This window comes from Homo sapiens, chromosome 11 (genome assembly GCF_000001405.40).
Source record: "Homo sapiens chromosome 11, GRCh38.p14 Primary Assembly".
Taxonomy (NCBI): domain Eukaryota; kingdom Metazoa; phylum Chordata; class Mammalia; order Primates; family Hominidae; genus Homo; species Homo sapiens.
The window spans coordinates 83,585,784-83,603,602 of record NC_000011.10 but is presented as its reverse complement, the minus strand read 5'-3'; the positions used below and the strand labels follow the sequence as shown (position 1 = coordinate 83,603,602).

The following is a 17,819-nucleotide window of genomic DNA, read 5'->3' as shown; positions in this document are numbered from 1 at the left end:
TGTCAACTGGAAGAACTACTTTGGAAAACAGTTTAACATTATTTAATAAAATTAAAAATATTACTCAGCGACTCCTTTCTTTAAGCATGTACCTTAGGGAAAATTTGTATACAGGGATAGAAGACATGTATAACAATATATATACTGATACTGTTAATAAAATCTAAAGATAACAATGTAAGATGGATGTATGAGTTATATTTATACAATGAATATAACTGTGAGAATGAATGAAGAACTGTTATATACATCAACATGGATGGGCCAAAAAAAGAAAGATAGTTAGAGGATGATTTACCCTAATTTCAGGAGAGTTACTTATGGAAGAAGAGTACTTAGGAAGGAAATTATATAAAAAATGGCATCCTGAGGGAATCTAAGTCACTGTTAATATTCTTTGTCGTGGTGATCGGTGTATAATACTATTTTATTTTTAAAAAATTGTGCAGAGATTTTATATGATTTATTGAATATGCGATCTATCTCTCTCCCACTACCATCACTTGTATGCATTCATTCACACACACACGAACACACATACACACACATACACACACATGCACACACATACACACACACACACAGTCACTGGGTTTTATCCCTAAAACAAAAAAAGATGGTAAAGCATAGGCCTAGACTGAGTGTATGGATATAGAAAATAGAATCATGAAGGAAAATAATAAGAATGCTCTTTAAAATGTGATCATATTGCCTCAGTTTGTTCTATAAATAGGTGAGACTGAATTATAAATAAGTAAAATTGGAATAAAAAATGATAAACTAATTTTGTCAGCAATATCACATCCTTGTCACCATTTCCTGAGCACTTACTATATTCAGGTTCTCTCTTCATTTTTTCTGTTCTTCACTATACCACTATGAGGCAGGTAAGAATGTATCCAAATTTACACAGAGGTGTGCTGTGAATCAAAACAGCTAAAAAAAAATTTTGTCCAGTTCTAAGACTGAAACATGGCCAAGGAGCTGCTCTGAAATTCAGATTCAGTCTGCCGGGCCCAGGCCCCATTCTCTCCATTCTGCCCCAATCTCTTTCTTGGTTTAACGTTTTCTCCTGCAGGGAGGCAGTGTTAGAGATGAATAGACTCCTAGTCAAAGTCTTAGGACAAATGATGTCCTTATTGGACTTCCAACCACCCTTTCTTTGTTGTAACTCTCCACAAGAATAAGAAGTTCATATTTTCACAATATTAGGTGCCATCCACTGCCGGCATGGTGCTGTAATTTGCTGGAAAATAATGACTCAGATGACTAATCTGTATGAACGCACATGCATTTTGCAAAGTGTTGTGTCAGAGCACGGGTCAAATCAATTAAGTGTTTTGTAAGGACCCAATTTTCATACTGGAACAAGTTAAATAATTGACTGCAATGAAAAATGCTAGGGAGAGTTTGTAAGAAAATTAATTGAAATCAGAAAGCAGAAAGACTCGCTCATTTCCAGAAGTGATATTTGAAATCCAGAAACATGTGGTTCATTCATTTCCTCTGTCCATGATTTATTCCCACTGCAGCACATTACTCTCTTGGTTGCTTTGCAAAAGTGCTCAATCTTCATCCTTCTTCCTGAGGAAGAGGGGTCTGTGGCAAAGTGCTTTGGGAGCTGGAGTCTGATTCACCAGGACACAGTCTGGTAGGTCTGTCTCTACAAAGCAGGGTTCGTTCTGGTCTCAATAAGCAGAAAACACTAAGAACTTGGAGAACCAGAAGCAAAGATCTGTGATCACAGCAAGTTGTTCTTCTCCTTAAGAACTTCATTGACGGCTGAGCCCTGTGCCTCACGCCTGTAACCCCAGCACTTTGGGAGGCCGAGGCCGGCAGATCACTTGAGCCCAGGAGTTCGAGATCAGCCCAGGCTGAAACCCTATCTCTACCAAAAAAAAAAAGAAAGAAATATATACAAAAATTAGCTTGGCATGTTGGCATGTGCCTGTAGTCCCAGCTACATGGGAGGCCGAGGTGGAAGAATGGTTTAAGCCTGGGAGGCAGAGGTTGCATTGAGCCGAGATCGCACCACTGCACTCCAGCTTGGGCGACAGAGTGAGACCTTGTCAAAAAAAAAAAAAAAAAAAAAGAACATCACATATTACTTTGCAGCTGTAATTCTCATATTTGGCTGATTATACAAGTTGTTTGAGAAGCTAACAGGTGGTTCAAACAAAAAGAGAATCGTTGGCTCCATCCCCACACTTACCAACTTACCAAGTCAGAACATCACAGGGTAGCTACATACATCACAGGAATTCTACATACAGAACACCTTAGGGAATTAAACTAAGTTTGGAAACTACTAGCCCATATAGAATAATGCCCCCAACTCTTCGGCATGGCATTGAGGACCCTTGGCAAAGTAATCTCAGTGTACCCCACTTCCCCTGATTATGAGGGGAAGAACTCTATTTCTCTTCCAACATAAAGCCATAGGACTTTGCATTCATTTCTTCAGTAAACATTTATTGAGCATCTGCTATGTGCCAGATTTGACAGGTATTATAGATTGTATCTTACTCTATCATTGCATGCTCTTAGTTGAGTTCAGAACTTCTACACTAAGTAATAGCACAGCCTGGCTTATGCTAAATGACAACTGAAACTTCTACCAAGGATAGTAAATACCTATAGGCAATGCTTCCCTCAATACCAGAACAGACATTGTTTATCATTGCACTCGGCATTCTTCCCACTGAGTCCAGAGACAACTTCAGAAGCTTTCTCAACAGCCTCTATCACACCATCTGCTTTGGCATGTGAGGCAAAGTCTGTTTGCAGCCTCTGTTATAGCCCATGTTTGACAAGACTAAACTAATACCCTTCCTCCCTCCTTCACTTTCACTGAGGTGACTGAACATGTGCTCAGGCTTTAGGAAAGGTAGGAGTTTTCAGAGATAGTCATTGCTTCTGAGATTGGTGTGTGGGCAGTAATGCACCCCAGGGCAGAGGCCCCAGTCTGCACATCTCTCTGTACAGGAGGGCCGTGTATTTGCTATTGCTAGACTAAGAACATGGATGACTTTTGGCACTCAGACACTACCCTCTCTCTCTTCCTGTCTGCCTTGACTGTATGTAGCTACGATAGTAATCCACAGCATCAAACAAGTTTTCTAAAAGTCCCATTAAATACAGGCTGCCAAATTTTGTGATTCAATTTTTTATATTCAGGAATGGACTTTAAGTTGTGATAGCAGAAAAGGAGATGTATAAAATTTCTCAAGAGAAACATTGCATTCTTGTCTTCACAGGCTGGTTCCAATAGGAACAGGAAAGAGTAAAATGGAGAGCTCAGCTGGATTCACACAGACCTGGAATTGAATGTCATACACACACACACACACACACACACACACACACCCTATAGCTAGCTGTGTGAACTCATCTTTTCCTCATCTTTGAAAAAAATAGGATGTGTGTGTGAATAATCTCTCTATCATGAGCTTATTTTAACTGGCATAGACGTATACATGAGCCTCTTAAATGCCTTGTTGACCATGCCTTTATGTTCTCAGTTTCTGGCCCAGAACCTGGGACATTAGGGAGGGTTTCAATAAATGTCAATCACATCAGATTACACTCAGCTTATCTGTAGGCAATTTATCTAACAATCTCAAGGATCAAAACACTATTAAGAACTAATCAGTAGCCAAAATAAATGTTCCTAGAAATATAGATTTTCCAAGCTCATGAACTTAATTCAAAGATATCTCTACAGCCCCTCATGCAAAACCTATTTAACATTAGTTTAGTTCTTCCAAACTACTAATACTGCTTTTCAACTCACTGTAGGTTACAGATAGGATAATGAGAGCAAGAGAGAAAGAGAGAACTAGTAGGACTCAAAAAGATACTAACCAGTGATTATAGAGTGCCTGCCCTGTGGTTGGGGCTTGATAAATGACACAGGATCTTGTCCTCAAAAAACACAATGTCTAGTGGCGGTGGGAGTTACACAGGTAATTCCACAGTATTACGCTGTTATGAAGAGCTATTCAGTGCCCCATGGTGTCACAAAGAAAGGGGTAAGTGGTCACTCCTAGTCAGGGAATTGACAAAGGAAGGGCAAGATGGGTTTCCTAAAACCTAAGATGCTTTTTGGATCTTTTGAAGGATTGGTAAGTGTTTATTAGAAAACCAATGATAGGGAGGGAGGCGATAGATAGTTGTCCAATCAGACGTAACAGTTTTCCAATCAGAGGAAGCTGGATAAGCAAAAGCAAGGAGGTGTGAAATAGCCTAAGGCCCTCAGGAATCTATCATGCAAGACCTGGTTCAGCATGACAGAAGCCTACTCTCCTCTGGAGGGGTTAGGCATGAGGGAAGGGGAAGTCCGAGAGGTGATAAGGTGAGCTCACAGAGGTATTTACATACCTTCCATGCTGAATTTGGACTTAAGGCTGTAGTTCATAGAGAGCCATTGAAAGAATTGTTTTGTTTATTAAGCAAGCATGTCAAGTACTCAGATGTGGTTTTGGAAAAACTACTCTTGCTAAGTGCCAAGGAAGGACTTGGGGATGCTGAGAATAGGAATAGGAAATAGGGGAACCTGTTTGGCTGCTGCAGCAATCCAAGCTAGAAATTGTGAGGCCCTAAACTAGGCCTAAGCAATGGGACTGGAGAATATGGGGCAGATGAAAGCCAGCTGGAGGTAAGGCCGCAGGATTTAAATGTGTGGCAGATTTAGGGCAGGGGCAGACAGCTTTATACACCTCAGTAGCCTTGAAGATACTACTGCATGATACACAGTACCAAAAATGACATGTTGAATGATAGTCATGAGACTTCAGAAGAATTTAAATTATGTTCAGTATACTCTGTTTGCTAAAGCAGTGAAGCGTAACATCTATTTTAGAGAAAGTTCTGCCTGAATAATTCATTTACATTTAATATATGACTCCCAAAGATCCTAATAATGAGCTTTAGTGTATATGAAGATCTAAAGTTTATTAAGTAGCTAGTATTAAAGGGTCTCTATCAGTATATTACCTCATTTAGCCTCAAAATAACCTGCTGGGAAAGTACTCTTGAATCCAAATGCAGATGAGCAACCCTAAAGCTGGGACAGAGGAAATCAATGTTTGAAGATCACACGGCCAGCAGTATTAGAACCATTTTGACTTAAAAATCCAGACTCTTTCTACTACACTGTCATTAGCCTAAACTTTTCCAATAAGCAGCCATATTCTGACTGAAATGAGAAGCTATTAAATATTGTAAAACTGAAATATGTGCTTGGGGTTTGTTGTCCCATCTTTCACTTTAAGATGGTGCTCAGGAGTTTCTGAAACGTTTTGCTGGGAATGAGTAGACGATGATAACTTCTCTGAAAGAACAGCCAAAGAGGACAGACAGAACATGCGTGGAGCTGAGAAAAGTATTCCAGTAACAGTTGATCTCATTTTTTTTCCCTTCTCGGAAATGCAGAATTAAACCTGTGCCATCTTGCCCATGCAAAACACATATCCTCTGAAATGATTTTGAGATGTAAATTAATTCCCACCCCGGAGCAAATAGCAAATCAACCAGGCAACCTAGTCCTGTAGACTAAAATAGGGAGCATCAGACCATGACTCTCTCTTGCCTGACTTTGGGATCCTAAACAAGCCACTTAATTGTCCTATGCCTCAGTCTCTTCAGATGCAAAAGGAAGATGATAATATTGGCCTTCTTAAGATGTTGTAAAGATAGGCATAAGAATGTCAGTATTTTGAAAGGTCAAATATTCTTACAATTGTAGAGTTTATTTTTATTCTATAAGCCAGTTTTGGTTTTTGTGTTTGTTTGTTTGTTTGTTTGTTTGTTTGTTTTGAGACAGGGAGCTCACTCTGTCTTCCAGGTGGGAGTGCAGTGGTGCAGCCTCAGCTCACTGCAGCCTCCGCCTCCAAGGCTCAAGTGATCCTCCCACCTCAGCCTCCTGAGTAGCTAGGACTAAGGAACACACCACCATGTCTGGCTAATTTTTTTTTTTTGGGGTAGAGATGGGGTTTTGCCTCAGCCTCCTGAGTAGCTGGGGCGACTATAGGCACACACTACCATGACTGGATAATTTTGTTTATTTATTTATTTAATTTTGGTAGAGACGGGGTTTTGCCATATTGCCCTGGTCTCAAACTTTTGGGCTAAAGAGATCCTGCCACCTCGGCCTCCCAAAGTACTGGGATTACAGGCATGAGCCACTGTGTCTGACCAAGTTTTACTCTATGTTTCCTAGATTAAAAAGTAGAAAATTTTATCTCATTCTTTTTATTTTCTTCACCAAATATTCTTTGAGCACATACCATGTGTGGGTACAGTGGAGGCACAGAGTTGAATTAGAGATATATCCCACTCTCAGATAGCTCATGATCCTGCTACTTAATTTTGATGTCTCTTGATCCCGCTCATGAGACATGTTGATCATGCTGTCACTGATGTTACCTAATTTAATCTTTATTTTATCTTTTGAAGTAGGTATCTATCCATCCCTATTTTATAGATACAACTGTTGAGCCTTGGCAATGACTGAACTGGAACTAACCCCAGTTATTCTGACTCCCTAAACTCAGATCTCCTTTGATCATCACAGAATTGCTTCACTGTCTCAGTGAAGAAAACAAGTATATTCATAATGAGCTCCGGTAAAAATCTGATGACAGTGAGGAATCTAAGGTAGGAACTAAAAGCTATGAGAACTGAGAGAGGAGAACAATTAATTTTAGATTAGGTCGATTCTCAGAATGTATTTTCATAAGAAGAAACATTTGAAATAGATTAGGAAGAATAACCAGAAAAAAAACAGAAAAAGAAAAAATGATAAGCAGGAGGAGCATGTACAAAAGTGTGGAGATGAACAGGTAAATGTTATGTTTGGGAACAATGAACATAATGGGATTAAAACGTGGAAACTGCAGACTGAATTTTTTTAAGATAGATTAGGTTCAGGTGAATGGAATCTTGAATATCATGTAAAGTAACTTGGGACTCTAAATAGTAAGGATTTTGAGCAGAGGAGTGATGTAGACATATTGGTGATTTAGAAATTATCCCAATGGCGATGGGAAGGATGGATCATAGGCGGCTGAGACCAGAGGTTGGTAAACCAGTTGGGGATTATTATAATAACATAGGCAAGGATAAAGAAGGACCTGGATTAAAGCACAGGCAATGGGAATAAATGAAGAGGAGCAAGGCAACATTCTAAATTATATTCAATAGTGATAGCAATGTTAGATTTGAAGGAAAGGGAGAAGTCAATGATGAGCCTGAGGTTTCTGGCTTGGGTGGTTGGATACACGGCTATGTCATTAACTAGGAAAGGAAACACAGGAGAAGAAGCCAGTGTTATGGGAGGAAAATTATTTTTTATTATGTCAACTTTAAGGGAGGGAAGAATGGACATCCTCCCCTTACATCAGATCATTGAAGCCAACTTTGATGATTTGATGTGATGACAGTCATAGTCATAGTTAAATCTTAATCTTAAATCTTGTTGTTTTTGTGCATATTTTATTTGATTCAGTTATATTGTTTGAGCTAATTTTAGGGTTAAAATAAGGTCCACTGTGCTGTGAGACTTTTATGTTCAGATCATGTTCTTGCCAATATGCAAAACAAAGGAATAAATGCATTTTAAGGGTTGTATAAGTTTCTTGCCTTAATATCTGCAAATTTATTTGCATCTGGGTAACATTTTGATATATTGTCTTATAATGCACCTATTACGACATCATCTCTACCTAATCAAGGGCATAGTTATGAGATTAAGGGCCAGTAAATTGATAATGGCAGACTTTTGTTTGTTTTTGAAACTCTTGTCATCCATTCTTTTTGTTCATTACGTTCTTCTATAAATTGTTTGCAATGTGATACTTTACATGTTAAAATGAACTTGCATTTCGGTTAGATGGTGTCTCCAAAAGGCTGGAGAATCAAAGACTGAAAAAAATAGGAGTAATTCAGTTTGCTGAGGATCAGCCTGAGACCGCATCAGTAACAGCATTTTTAGTTCCGTACAAAGTAATTTGGTTGTGGAGAAGTCCTACAGCAAATCAGCCTGAATTGTTCAGTTTAATTGTGGTCACAGAGCCACTTGTGCAGTAACATTAATTACAATGAATGTTTTAGCCATTAAAGCCTGCCATTAATTTGGTTCCTTAGATGGATTCTTAATGGTAAGAAAAATGAGGAGGATGCCCTGTTTATCTCATTTAATGCCTGGAACACAGTAAGTTATCAACAGTTTGTCCTCAGTTTCCTCAACTGCAAAATGCAAATGATAATAGTCCTTACACAGCTGGATTTTGAGAATTGTAAGAGAAAAGACTTAATACATTATCTAGCATAAAAGCACTTAATGCCTTCATTAATAGTTGAAACCCCAGTGCAGCAATGCTTTATTTAATACCCAAGAGCTGGGAGAAAACTCACCTCACATTTTATTTACATTTGAGAAACAAAGGGCCTAGAAAGAAGTGGTTTTTTTTTCCCATAAATAGATTTATTGCTTGTAAAGATTTTTTGCTCTGAGATAATTTAAATAACTTCTGTAGTCAGAATGAGCTTTTATACCATATGCATTGATAAAAGAATATGTCTAAATATCTGTATAATGTGAAAAGCTGAGAAACTCATTACCACCATGACATAAAGCCATTAGGAATTTCATTAATTGCTGTGGTACAGAAAGTGGAAGATCTACCTTTTAGTTCAAACTCAGCTCAGCTGTATGGAGCCTAAGCCTATTCTATTTCTTCCTAAAATCTGGACCATCTTTAAAGTAGGGACGAGTGGGAGCCCACTTGCTTTTGCTGAGAAATTCCATACAAACCTTCCAAGACCAAGTATTGCAACTCTCCTGGGAATGGACATTTCACAATTCCCATGGCAGCTCAAGAATTAGAAGCAACCCAAAGCCACCTCTTCTAGTCCTACCCTTCCTTCCCATCCAATTTATAAATCCTCTTCTAAGTATCCTTTATACATGGCTTCTCTTCAACAACCTCTATTCTTAGATAGTTTTCCCTGTATTTAATATAAACCTTGATTGCTTCAATGTACGACAATACAGCCTCTAATTTTATGCTTTTTGGACCAAATGAATGTTCTTTAAGCATGTTGTCAGTTTAAACAAGATCATGCATCTGAAATGTCTGTGTAAATTATACAGTGCTGTATAAAATTACTCAAGACTGTATTAACAAAGCTAAGACAGGCAATGATGCAACATATTTCTTAAATGCAACAATCCTTAAATTAGCTTCACACATAAAAGTTTATTTCTCATCCACAGTACATACCAATCAGGGCTTGAGGAAGGGCTCTGCTCCACACAGTCACTCAGTACTCACAATGATGGAGGGGCCACAATCTTAGAGCTGCACCATTAGAAATCAGTTCCTTGATAGCCAAGGCAGAAGAGAAAGGGTTGCATCCTGACACACTTGCTCATAGACCATTGACTGAAACATGCCACAGGGCCCTGCCTAAAGGGTCCAGGAAATACAGGGAACAGATCAGTATTTGGCAAGCCATAATTGTCTCTTTCCCAGTATTTCTGTCAAGGCTAAGCAAATCTAAGGGCCTTGTATTTTTTTACTTCCCATTTTAACCTTTTATTTGCTATTACACTTACCTAGGTTTACTTTTGGTTTACGATATATATAGCCATTTTTTAAGTAGTCTCAATAAGGACTTATTCAATGCTATATGGAGAAAAGGAATTATTGCATGCTGTTTAATCTGTCAAATGACAGCACTATTTTATCTTTTTTTTTCAAGCAGTGAGAATATTGTGACTTGGAGAATATTATAATTTTATCCTTATCAGCTAGGCAATTTTATGTTCGTGTTTTTACAAATATCAACTTCATACTTGCCAGGACTGGATTTCCACATGATTTTTATAGAGAGAAATGATCTCTCTATATAAATTCTTTTTTTTTCTTTTTTTTTTAATATATTTCTTTTTTTTATTATACTTTAAGTTTTAGGGTACATGTGCACATTGTGCAGGTTAGTTACATATGTATACATGTGCCATGCTGGTGCACTGCACCCACTAACTCGTCATCTAGCATTAGGTATATCTCCCAATGCTATCCCTCCCCCCTCCGCCAACCCCACCACAGTCCCCAGAGTGTGATATTCCCCTTCCTGTGTCCATGTGATCTCATTGTTCAATTCCCACCTGTGAGTGAGAATATGCGGTGTTTGGTTTTTTGTTCTTGCGATAGTTTACTGAGAATGATGATTTCCAATTTCATCCATGTCCCTACAAAGGACATGAACTAATCATTTTTTATGGCTGCATAGTATTCCATGGTGTATATGTGCCACATTTTCTTAATCCAGTCTATCATTGTTGGACATTTGGGTTGGTTCCAAGTCTTTGCTATTGTGAATAATGCCGCAATAAACATACGTGTGCATGTGTCTTTATAGCAGCAAGATTTATAGTCCTTTGGGTATATACCCAGTAATGGGATGGCTGGGTCAAATGGTATTTCTAGTTCTAGATCCCTGAGGACTCGCCACACTGACTTCCACAATGGTTGAACTAGTTTACAGTCCCACCAACAGTGTAAAAGTGTTCCTATTTCTCCACATCCTCTCCAGCACCTGTTGTTTCCTGACTTTTTAATGATTGCCATTCTAACTGGTGTGAGGTGGTATCTCATTGTGGTTTTGATTTGCATTTCTCTGATGGCCAGTGATGATGAGCATTTTTTCATGTGTTTTTTGGCTGCATAAATGTCTTCTTTTGAGAAGTGTCTGTTCATGTCCTTGGCCCACTTTTTGATGGGGTTGTTTGTTTTTTTCTTGTAAATTTGTTTGAGTTCATTGTAGATTCTGGATATTAGCCCTTTGTCAGATGAGTAGGTTGCGAAAATTTTCTCCCATTTTGTAGGCTGCCTGTTCACTCTGATGGTAGTTTCTTTTGCTGTGCAGAAGCTCTTTAGTTTAATTAGATCCCATTTGTCAATTTTGTCTTTTGTTGCCATTGCTTTTGGTGTTTTGGACATGAAGTCCTTGCCCATGCCTATGTCCTGAATGGTGATGCCTAGGTTTTTTTCTAGGGTTTTTATGGTTTTAGGTCTAACGTTTAAGTCTTTAATCCATCTTGAATTGATTTTTGTGTAAGGTGTAAGGAAGGGATCCAGTTTCAGCTTTCTACATATGGCTAGCCAGTTTTCCCAGCACCATTTATTAAATAGGGAATCCTTTCCCCATTGCTTGTTTTTCTCAGGTTTGTCAAAGATCAGATAGTTGTAGATATGCGGTGTTATTTCTCAGGGCTCTGTTCTGTTCCATTGATCTATATCTCTGTTTTGGTACCAGTACCATGCTGTTTTGATTACTGTAGCCTTGTAGTATAGTTTGAAGTCAGGTAGTGTGATGCCTCCAGCTTTGTTCTTTTGGCTTAGGATTGCCTTGGCGATGCGGGCTCTTTTTTGGTTCCATATGAACTTTAAAGTAGTTTTTTCCAATTCTGTGAAGAAAGTCATTGGTAGCTTGATAGGGATGGCATTGAATCTGTAAATTACCTTGGGCAGTATGGCCATTTTCACGATATTGATTCTTCCTACCCATGAGCATGGAATGTTCTTCCATTTGTTTGTATCCTCTTTTATTTCATTGAGCAGTGGTTTGTAGTTCTCCTTGAAGAGGTCCTTCACATCCCTTGTAAGTTGGATTCCTAGGTATTTTATTCTCTTTGAAGCAATTGTGAATGGGAGTTCACTCATGATTTGGCTCTCTGTTTGTCTGTTATTGGTGTATAAGAATGCTTGTGATTTTTGTACATTGATTTTGTATCCTGAGACTTTGCTGAAGTTGCTTACCAGCTTAAGGAGGTTTTGGGCTGAGACAATGGAGTTTTCTAGATATACAATCATGTCATCTGCAAACAGGGACAATTTGACTTCCTCTTTTCCTAATTGAATACCCTTTATTTCCTTCTCCTGCCTAATTGCCCTGGCCAGAACTTCCAACACTATGTTGAATAGGAGTGGTGAGAGAGGGCATCCCTGTCTTGTGCCAGTTTTCAAAGGGAATGCTTCCAGTTTTTGCCCATTCAGTATGATATTGGCTGTGGGTTTGTCATAGATAGCTCTTATTATTTTGAAATACGTCCCATCAATACCTAATTTATTGAGAGTTTTTAGCATGAAGGGTTGTTGAATTTTGTCAAAGGCCTTTTCTGCATCTATTGAGATAATCATGTGGTTTTTGTCTTTGGCTCTGTTTATATGCTGGATTACATTTATTGATTTGCGTATATTGAACCAGCCTTGCATCCCAGGGATGAAGCCCACTTGATCATAGTGGATAAGCTTTTTGATGTGCTGCTGGATTCGTTTTGCCAGTATTTTATTGAGGATTTTTGCATCAATGTTCATCAAGGATATTGGTCTAAAATTCTCTTTTTTGGTTGTGTCTCTGCCTGGCTTTGGTATCAGGATGATGCTGGCCTCATAAAATGAGTTAGGGAGGATTCCCTCTTTTTCTATTGATTGGAATAGTTTCAGAAGGAATGGTACCAGCTCCTCCTTGTACCTCTGATAGAATTCGGCTGTGAATCCATCTGGTCCTGGACTCTTTTGGGTTGGTAAACTATTGATTATTGCCACAATTTCAGCTCCTGTTATTGGTCTATTCAGAGATTCAACTTCTTCCTGGTTTAGTCTTGGGAGAGTGTATGTGTCGAGGAATTTATCCATTTCTTCTAGATTTTCTAGTTTATTTGCATAGAGGTGTTTGTAGTATTCTCTGATGGTAGTTTGTATTTCTGTGAGATCGGTGGTGATATCCCCTTTATCATTTTTTATTGTGTCTATTTGATTCTTGTCTCTTTTTTTCTTTATTAGTCTTGCTAGCGGTCTATCAATTTTGTTGATCCTTTCAAAAAACCAGCTCCTGGATTCATTAATTTTTTGAAGGGTTTTTGGTGTCTCTATTACCTTCAGTTCTGCTCTGATTTTAGTTATTTCTTGCCTTCTGCTAGCTTTTGAATGTGTTTGCTCTTGCTTTTCTAGTTCTTTTAATTGTGATGTTAGGGTGTCAATTTTGGATCTTTCCTGCTTTCTCTTGTGGGCATTTAGTGCTATAAATTTCCCTCTACACACTGCTTTGAATGTGTCCCAGAGATTCTGGTATGCTGTGTCTTTGTTCTCATTGGTTTCAAAGAACATCTTTATTTCTGCCTTCATTTCGTTATGTATCCAGTAGTCATTCAGGAGCAGGTTGTTCAGTTTCCATGTAGTTGAGCGGTTTTGAGTGAGATTCTTCATCCTGAGTTCTAGTTTGATTGCAGTGTGGTCTGAGAGACTGTTTGTTATAATTTCTGTTCTTTTACATTTGCTGAGGAGAGCTTTACTTCCAACTATGTGGTCAATTTTGGAATAGGTGTGGTGTGGTGCTGAAAAAAATGTATATTCTGTTGATTTGGGGTGGAGAGTTCTGTAGATGTCTATTAGGTCTGCTTGGTGCAGAGCTGAGTTCAATTGCTGGGTATCCTTGTTGACTTCTGTCTCGTTGATCTGTCTAATGTTGACAGTGGGGTGTTAAAGTCTCCCATTATTAATGTGTGGGAGTCTAAGTCTCTTTGTAGGTCACTCAGGACTTGCTTTATGAATCTGGGTGCTCCTGTATTGGGTGCATATATATTTAGGATAGTTAGCTCTTCTTGTTGAATTGATCCCTTTACTATTATGTAATGGCCTTCTTTGTCTCTTTTGATCTTTGTTGGTTTAAAGTCTGTTTTATCAGAGACTAGGATTGCAACCCCTGCCTTTTTTTGTTTTCCATTTGCTTGGTAGATCTTCCTCCATCCTTTTATTTTGAGCCTATGTGTGTCTCTGCACATGAGATGGGTTTCCTGAATACAGCACACTGCTGGGTCTTGACTCTTTATCCAATTTGCCAGTCTGTGTCTTTTAATTGGAGCATTTAGTCCATTTACATTTAAAGTTAATATTGTTATGTGTGAATTTGATCCTGTCATTATGATGTTAGCTGGTGATTTTGCTCGTTAGTTGATGCAGTTTCTTCCTAGTCTCGATGGTCTTTACATTTTGGCATGATTTTGCAGTGGCTGGTTCCGGTTGTTCCTTTCCATGTTTAGTGCTTCCTTCAGGAGCTCTTTTAGGGCAGGCCTGCTGGTGACAAAATCTCTCAGCATTTGCTTGTCTGTAAAGTATTTTATTTCTCCTTCACTTATGAAGCTTAGTTTGGCTGGATATGAAATTCTGGGTTGAAAATTCTTTTCTTTAAGAATGTTGAATATTGGCCCCCACTCTCTTCTGGCTTGTAGGGTTTCTGCCGAGAGATCTGCTGTTAGTCTGATGGGCTTCCCTTTGAGGGTAACCCGACCTTTCTCTCTGGCTGCCCTTAACATTTTTTCCTTTTTTTCAACTTTGGTGAATCTGACAATTATGTGTCTTGGAGTTGCTCTTCTCGAGGAGTATCTTTGTGGCATTCTCTGTATTTCCTGAATCTGAACGTTGGCCTGCCTTGCTAGATTGGGGAAGTTCTCCTGGATAATATCCTGCAGAGTGTTTTCCAACTTGGTTCCATTCTCCCCATCACTTTCAGGTACACCAGTCAGACGTAGATTTGGTCTTTTCACATAGTCCCATATTTCTTGGAGGCTTTGCTCATTTCTTTTTATTCTTTTTTCTCTAAACTTCCCTTCTCACTTCATTTCATTCATTTCATCTTCCATCACTGATACCCTTTCTTCCAGTTGATCGCATCGGCTCCTGACGCTTCTGCATTCTTCATGTAGATCTCGAGCCTTGGTTTTCAGCTCCATCAGCTCCTTTAAGCACTTCTCTGTATTGGTTATTCTAGTTATACATTCTTCTAAATTTTTTTCAAAGTTTTCAACTTCTTTGCATTTGGTTTGAATGTCCTCCCGTAGCTCAGAGTAATTTGATCGTCTGAAGCCTTCTTCTCTCAGCTCGTCAAAGTCATTCTCCATCCAGCTTTGTTCCGTTGCTGGTGAGGAACTGCGTTCCTTTGGAGGAGGAGAGGCGCTCTGCTTTTTAGAGTTTCCAGTTTTTCTGTTCTGTTTTTTCCCCATCGTTGTGGTTTTATCTACTTTTGGTCTTTGATGATGGTGATGGTGATGTACAGATGGGTTTTTGGTGTGGATGTCCTTTCTGTTTGTTAGTTTTCCTTCTAACAGAGAGGACCCTCAGCTGCAGGTCTGTTGGAATACCCTGCTGTGTGAGGTGTCAGTGTGCCCCTGCTGGGGGGTGCCTCCCAGTTAGGCTGCTCGGGGGTCAGGGGTCAGAGACCCACTTGAGGAGGCAGTCTGCCCGTTCTCAGATCTCCAGCTGCGTGCTGGGAGAACTACTGCTCTCTTCAAAGCTGTCAGACAGGGACATTTAAGTCTGCAGAGGTTACTGCTGTCTTTTTGTTTGTCTGTGCCCTGCCCCCAGAGGTGGAGCCTACAGAGGCAGGCAGGCCTCCTTGAGCTGTGGTGGGCTCCACCCAGTTCGAGCTTCCCAGCTGCTTTGTTTACCTAATCAAGCCTGGGCAATGGCGGGCGCCCCTCCCCTAGCCTCGCTGCCGCCTTGCAGTTTGATCTCAGACTGCTGTGCTAGGCGACTCCGTGGGCTTAGGAGCCTCTGAGCCAGGTGCGGGATATAATCTCGTGGTGCGCCATTTTTTAAGCCCATGGGAAAAGCTCAGTATTCAGGTGGGAGTGACCTGATTTTCCAGGTGCCGTCCGTCACCCCTTTCCTTGACTCAGAAAGGGAACTCCCTGACCCCTTGCACTTCCCAAGTGAGGCAATGCCTCGCCCTGCTTCGGCTCGCGCACGGTGCGCGCACCCACTGACCTGCGCCCACTGTCTGGCACTTCCTAGTGAGATGAACCCGGTACCTCAGATGGAAATGCAGAAATCACCCGTCTTCTGCGTAGCTCACGCTGGGAGCTGTAGACCGGAGCTGTTCCTATTCCTCTCTATATAAATTCTATAGATACATAGAGTGATTATAGAGAGAAACTCTCTCTATATATAAATTCTAATTCACTATCTCCTAAAAGTAGCACATTTGCCTATAATCCCAGCACTTTGGTAGACCAAGGAGAACAGATTGTTTGAGCTCAGGAGTTCGAGATCTGCCTGGGCAACATGGCAATATCTTATCTCTGTTAAAAATATAAAAAAATAGCTGGGCATGGTGGTATGCACCTGTGGTCCCAGCTACTTGGGAGGCTGAGGTGGGAGGATCACTTGAGCATGGAAGGTGAGGTTGCAGTGAGCTGAGATTGCACCATTGTACTCTAGCCTGTGTGACAGAGCAAGACCCTGTCTCAAATTAAAAAAAAAAAAAGTAGCAAATTCAATGTTAGATGGGAGAAACTGGAGCTGATATGGCTGCTTATAGCCAAACATTAAAAGATAATTTAAAAAAAACTATAAGCAGCAGATGTGTTGTTTTCTTTTTTAATCCAAAGCATAACAATAATAGGAACTACATTCTGGAATGGCTGCTCTGTGTTAGGCACTTTACAAAGATCATTTCATGTAATCATCACAACACCCTTTGTGAACAGGTATAACTTATTCATAGCCACATAACTAGAAGAAGAGGAGTCAGGATTTAAAGTCAGATTGTTTTTCTTTGAAAGCCTCATTTACTAGTGTCAAGGAAAATAGCTTCTGTGGCCATTGCTCTGCTACCAACTTCGATTTTCACAACCCTGGTGTGAATTCATGATAACAATACCTGCTGTGGGTTAGAGAAAACATTACAAGGCAGTAGTTAAGAGCACCAGCTTTGGTGCTAGGTTCCCTGATGTTGTAAAACTGAGTCCTGGCTCTGAGATTTCCTAGCTGTGAAAACTTACGCAAGCTGGTTTTTAACTTCTCAGTGCCTCTGTATTCTCTCTCAAAAAATGTTAATAAAATAGTATCTACCCTATAGAGCTGCTATGCAGATTAAGTAGTTACTATAAGTAACAAACTTAGAACAGTATGTGGCACTCAATAAATACTGGCTATTAATTTTGAGTTCTGACCCTGTACCTCAGGGATATAGGTAAAAAGCAGGAAGAAAATGATAGTTTTAAAGAACCTAATACGCTGATATTTTATAGACACAGTTATTTCATTCAACCTCACAACAGCCTCATTAAGTGGGTTATTCTCATAAGAGAAGTGAAAGCTGAGGCACAGAGAAGCAAAATAATTGACCCAGTCACCTAGCTGGTAAGTGGCAAAACCAGGAATTTATCCCACATCTGTCTGTGCTATAACAGAAATGTTGAAGTATATTTACTGTTGTGTTTTTAATAGAACACAAAAAGATTCTCCCTATGTTGGTAAACATAGTGGGCACAGAATGACACTTAAGTTTACTCCACACAAATGCCAAAAGGCTGGCAAAGCCCTTTTTTCTGGCTCCTGACCTGGGCAATGCCCATGCCCCACTCCTGAATGATGCTGAGGGCTTGCATCCATCCAGATTCTCTAGCTGTCCTGAAGCACCTGTTTTTGTCTGTTCTTCTACCTAATGCTCAGCACTTGCACACTGCCTTTGGCTAAATGTCATGCCCACTCTCAAAATCTTATTTCTTGAAGAGTCCTTTCTGGTTTCACTAGGAGAAGGTTGGCTTTTATTTGCCCTAGTTTCTCTCTTTGTCTCTTGACATTTTCTCATTTCTTCTATCTCTTCTCTTTTTTCTTCAGGCATTGTCAGGTTTCCCAAGCCCCATCCTCATGGCACATAATTATACCATGGTAATGATATACCTTGTTCTCGTGTATTTTCAGCCTTGAATGTTGACTTTTCTGTTTCCTCCAGTGTGCTCTGATAGG

At 39.7% G+C, this 17,819-nt stretch overlaps 1 protein-coding gene across 62 annotated transcripts in view, besides 2 other annotated features; it reads left to right on the top strand.

The window, feature by feature from the left end:
- Positions 1-17,819, top strand: part of DLG2 (discs large MAGUK scaffold protein 2) — a 2,173,362-nt gene that overhangs the window by 2,024,771 nt on the left and 130,772 nt on the right. The gene's annotated exons all lie outside the window — the stretch shown is intronic.
- Positions 15,036-15,619: an enhancer, noted in NCBI's record as "H3K27ac-H3K4me1 hESC enhancer chr11:83299027-83299610 (GRCh37/hg19 assembly coordinates)". NCBI's record gives its function as "activates a minimal SCP1, AML or CMV promoter by ChIP-STARR-seq in naive H9 embryonic stem cells {active_cell/tissue: H9 hESC(naive)}" and the evidence as "EXISTENCE:reporter gene assay evidence [ECO:0000049][PMID:30033119]".
- Positions 15,620-16,203: an enhancer, noted in NCBI's record as "H3K27ac-H3K4me1 hESC enhancer chr11:83298443-83299026 (GRCh37/hg19 assembly coordinates)". NCBI's record gives its function as "activates a minimal SCP1, AML or CMV promoter by ChIP-STARR-seq in naive H9 embryonic stem cells {active_cell/tissue: H9 hESC(naive)}" and the evidence as "EXISTENCE:reporter gene assay evidence [ECO:0000049][PMID:30033119]".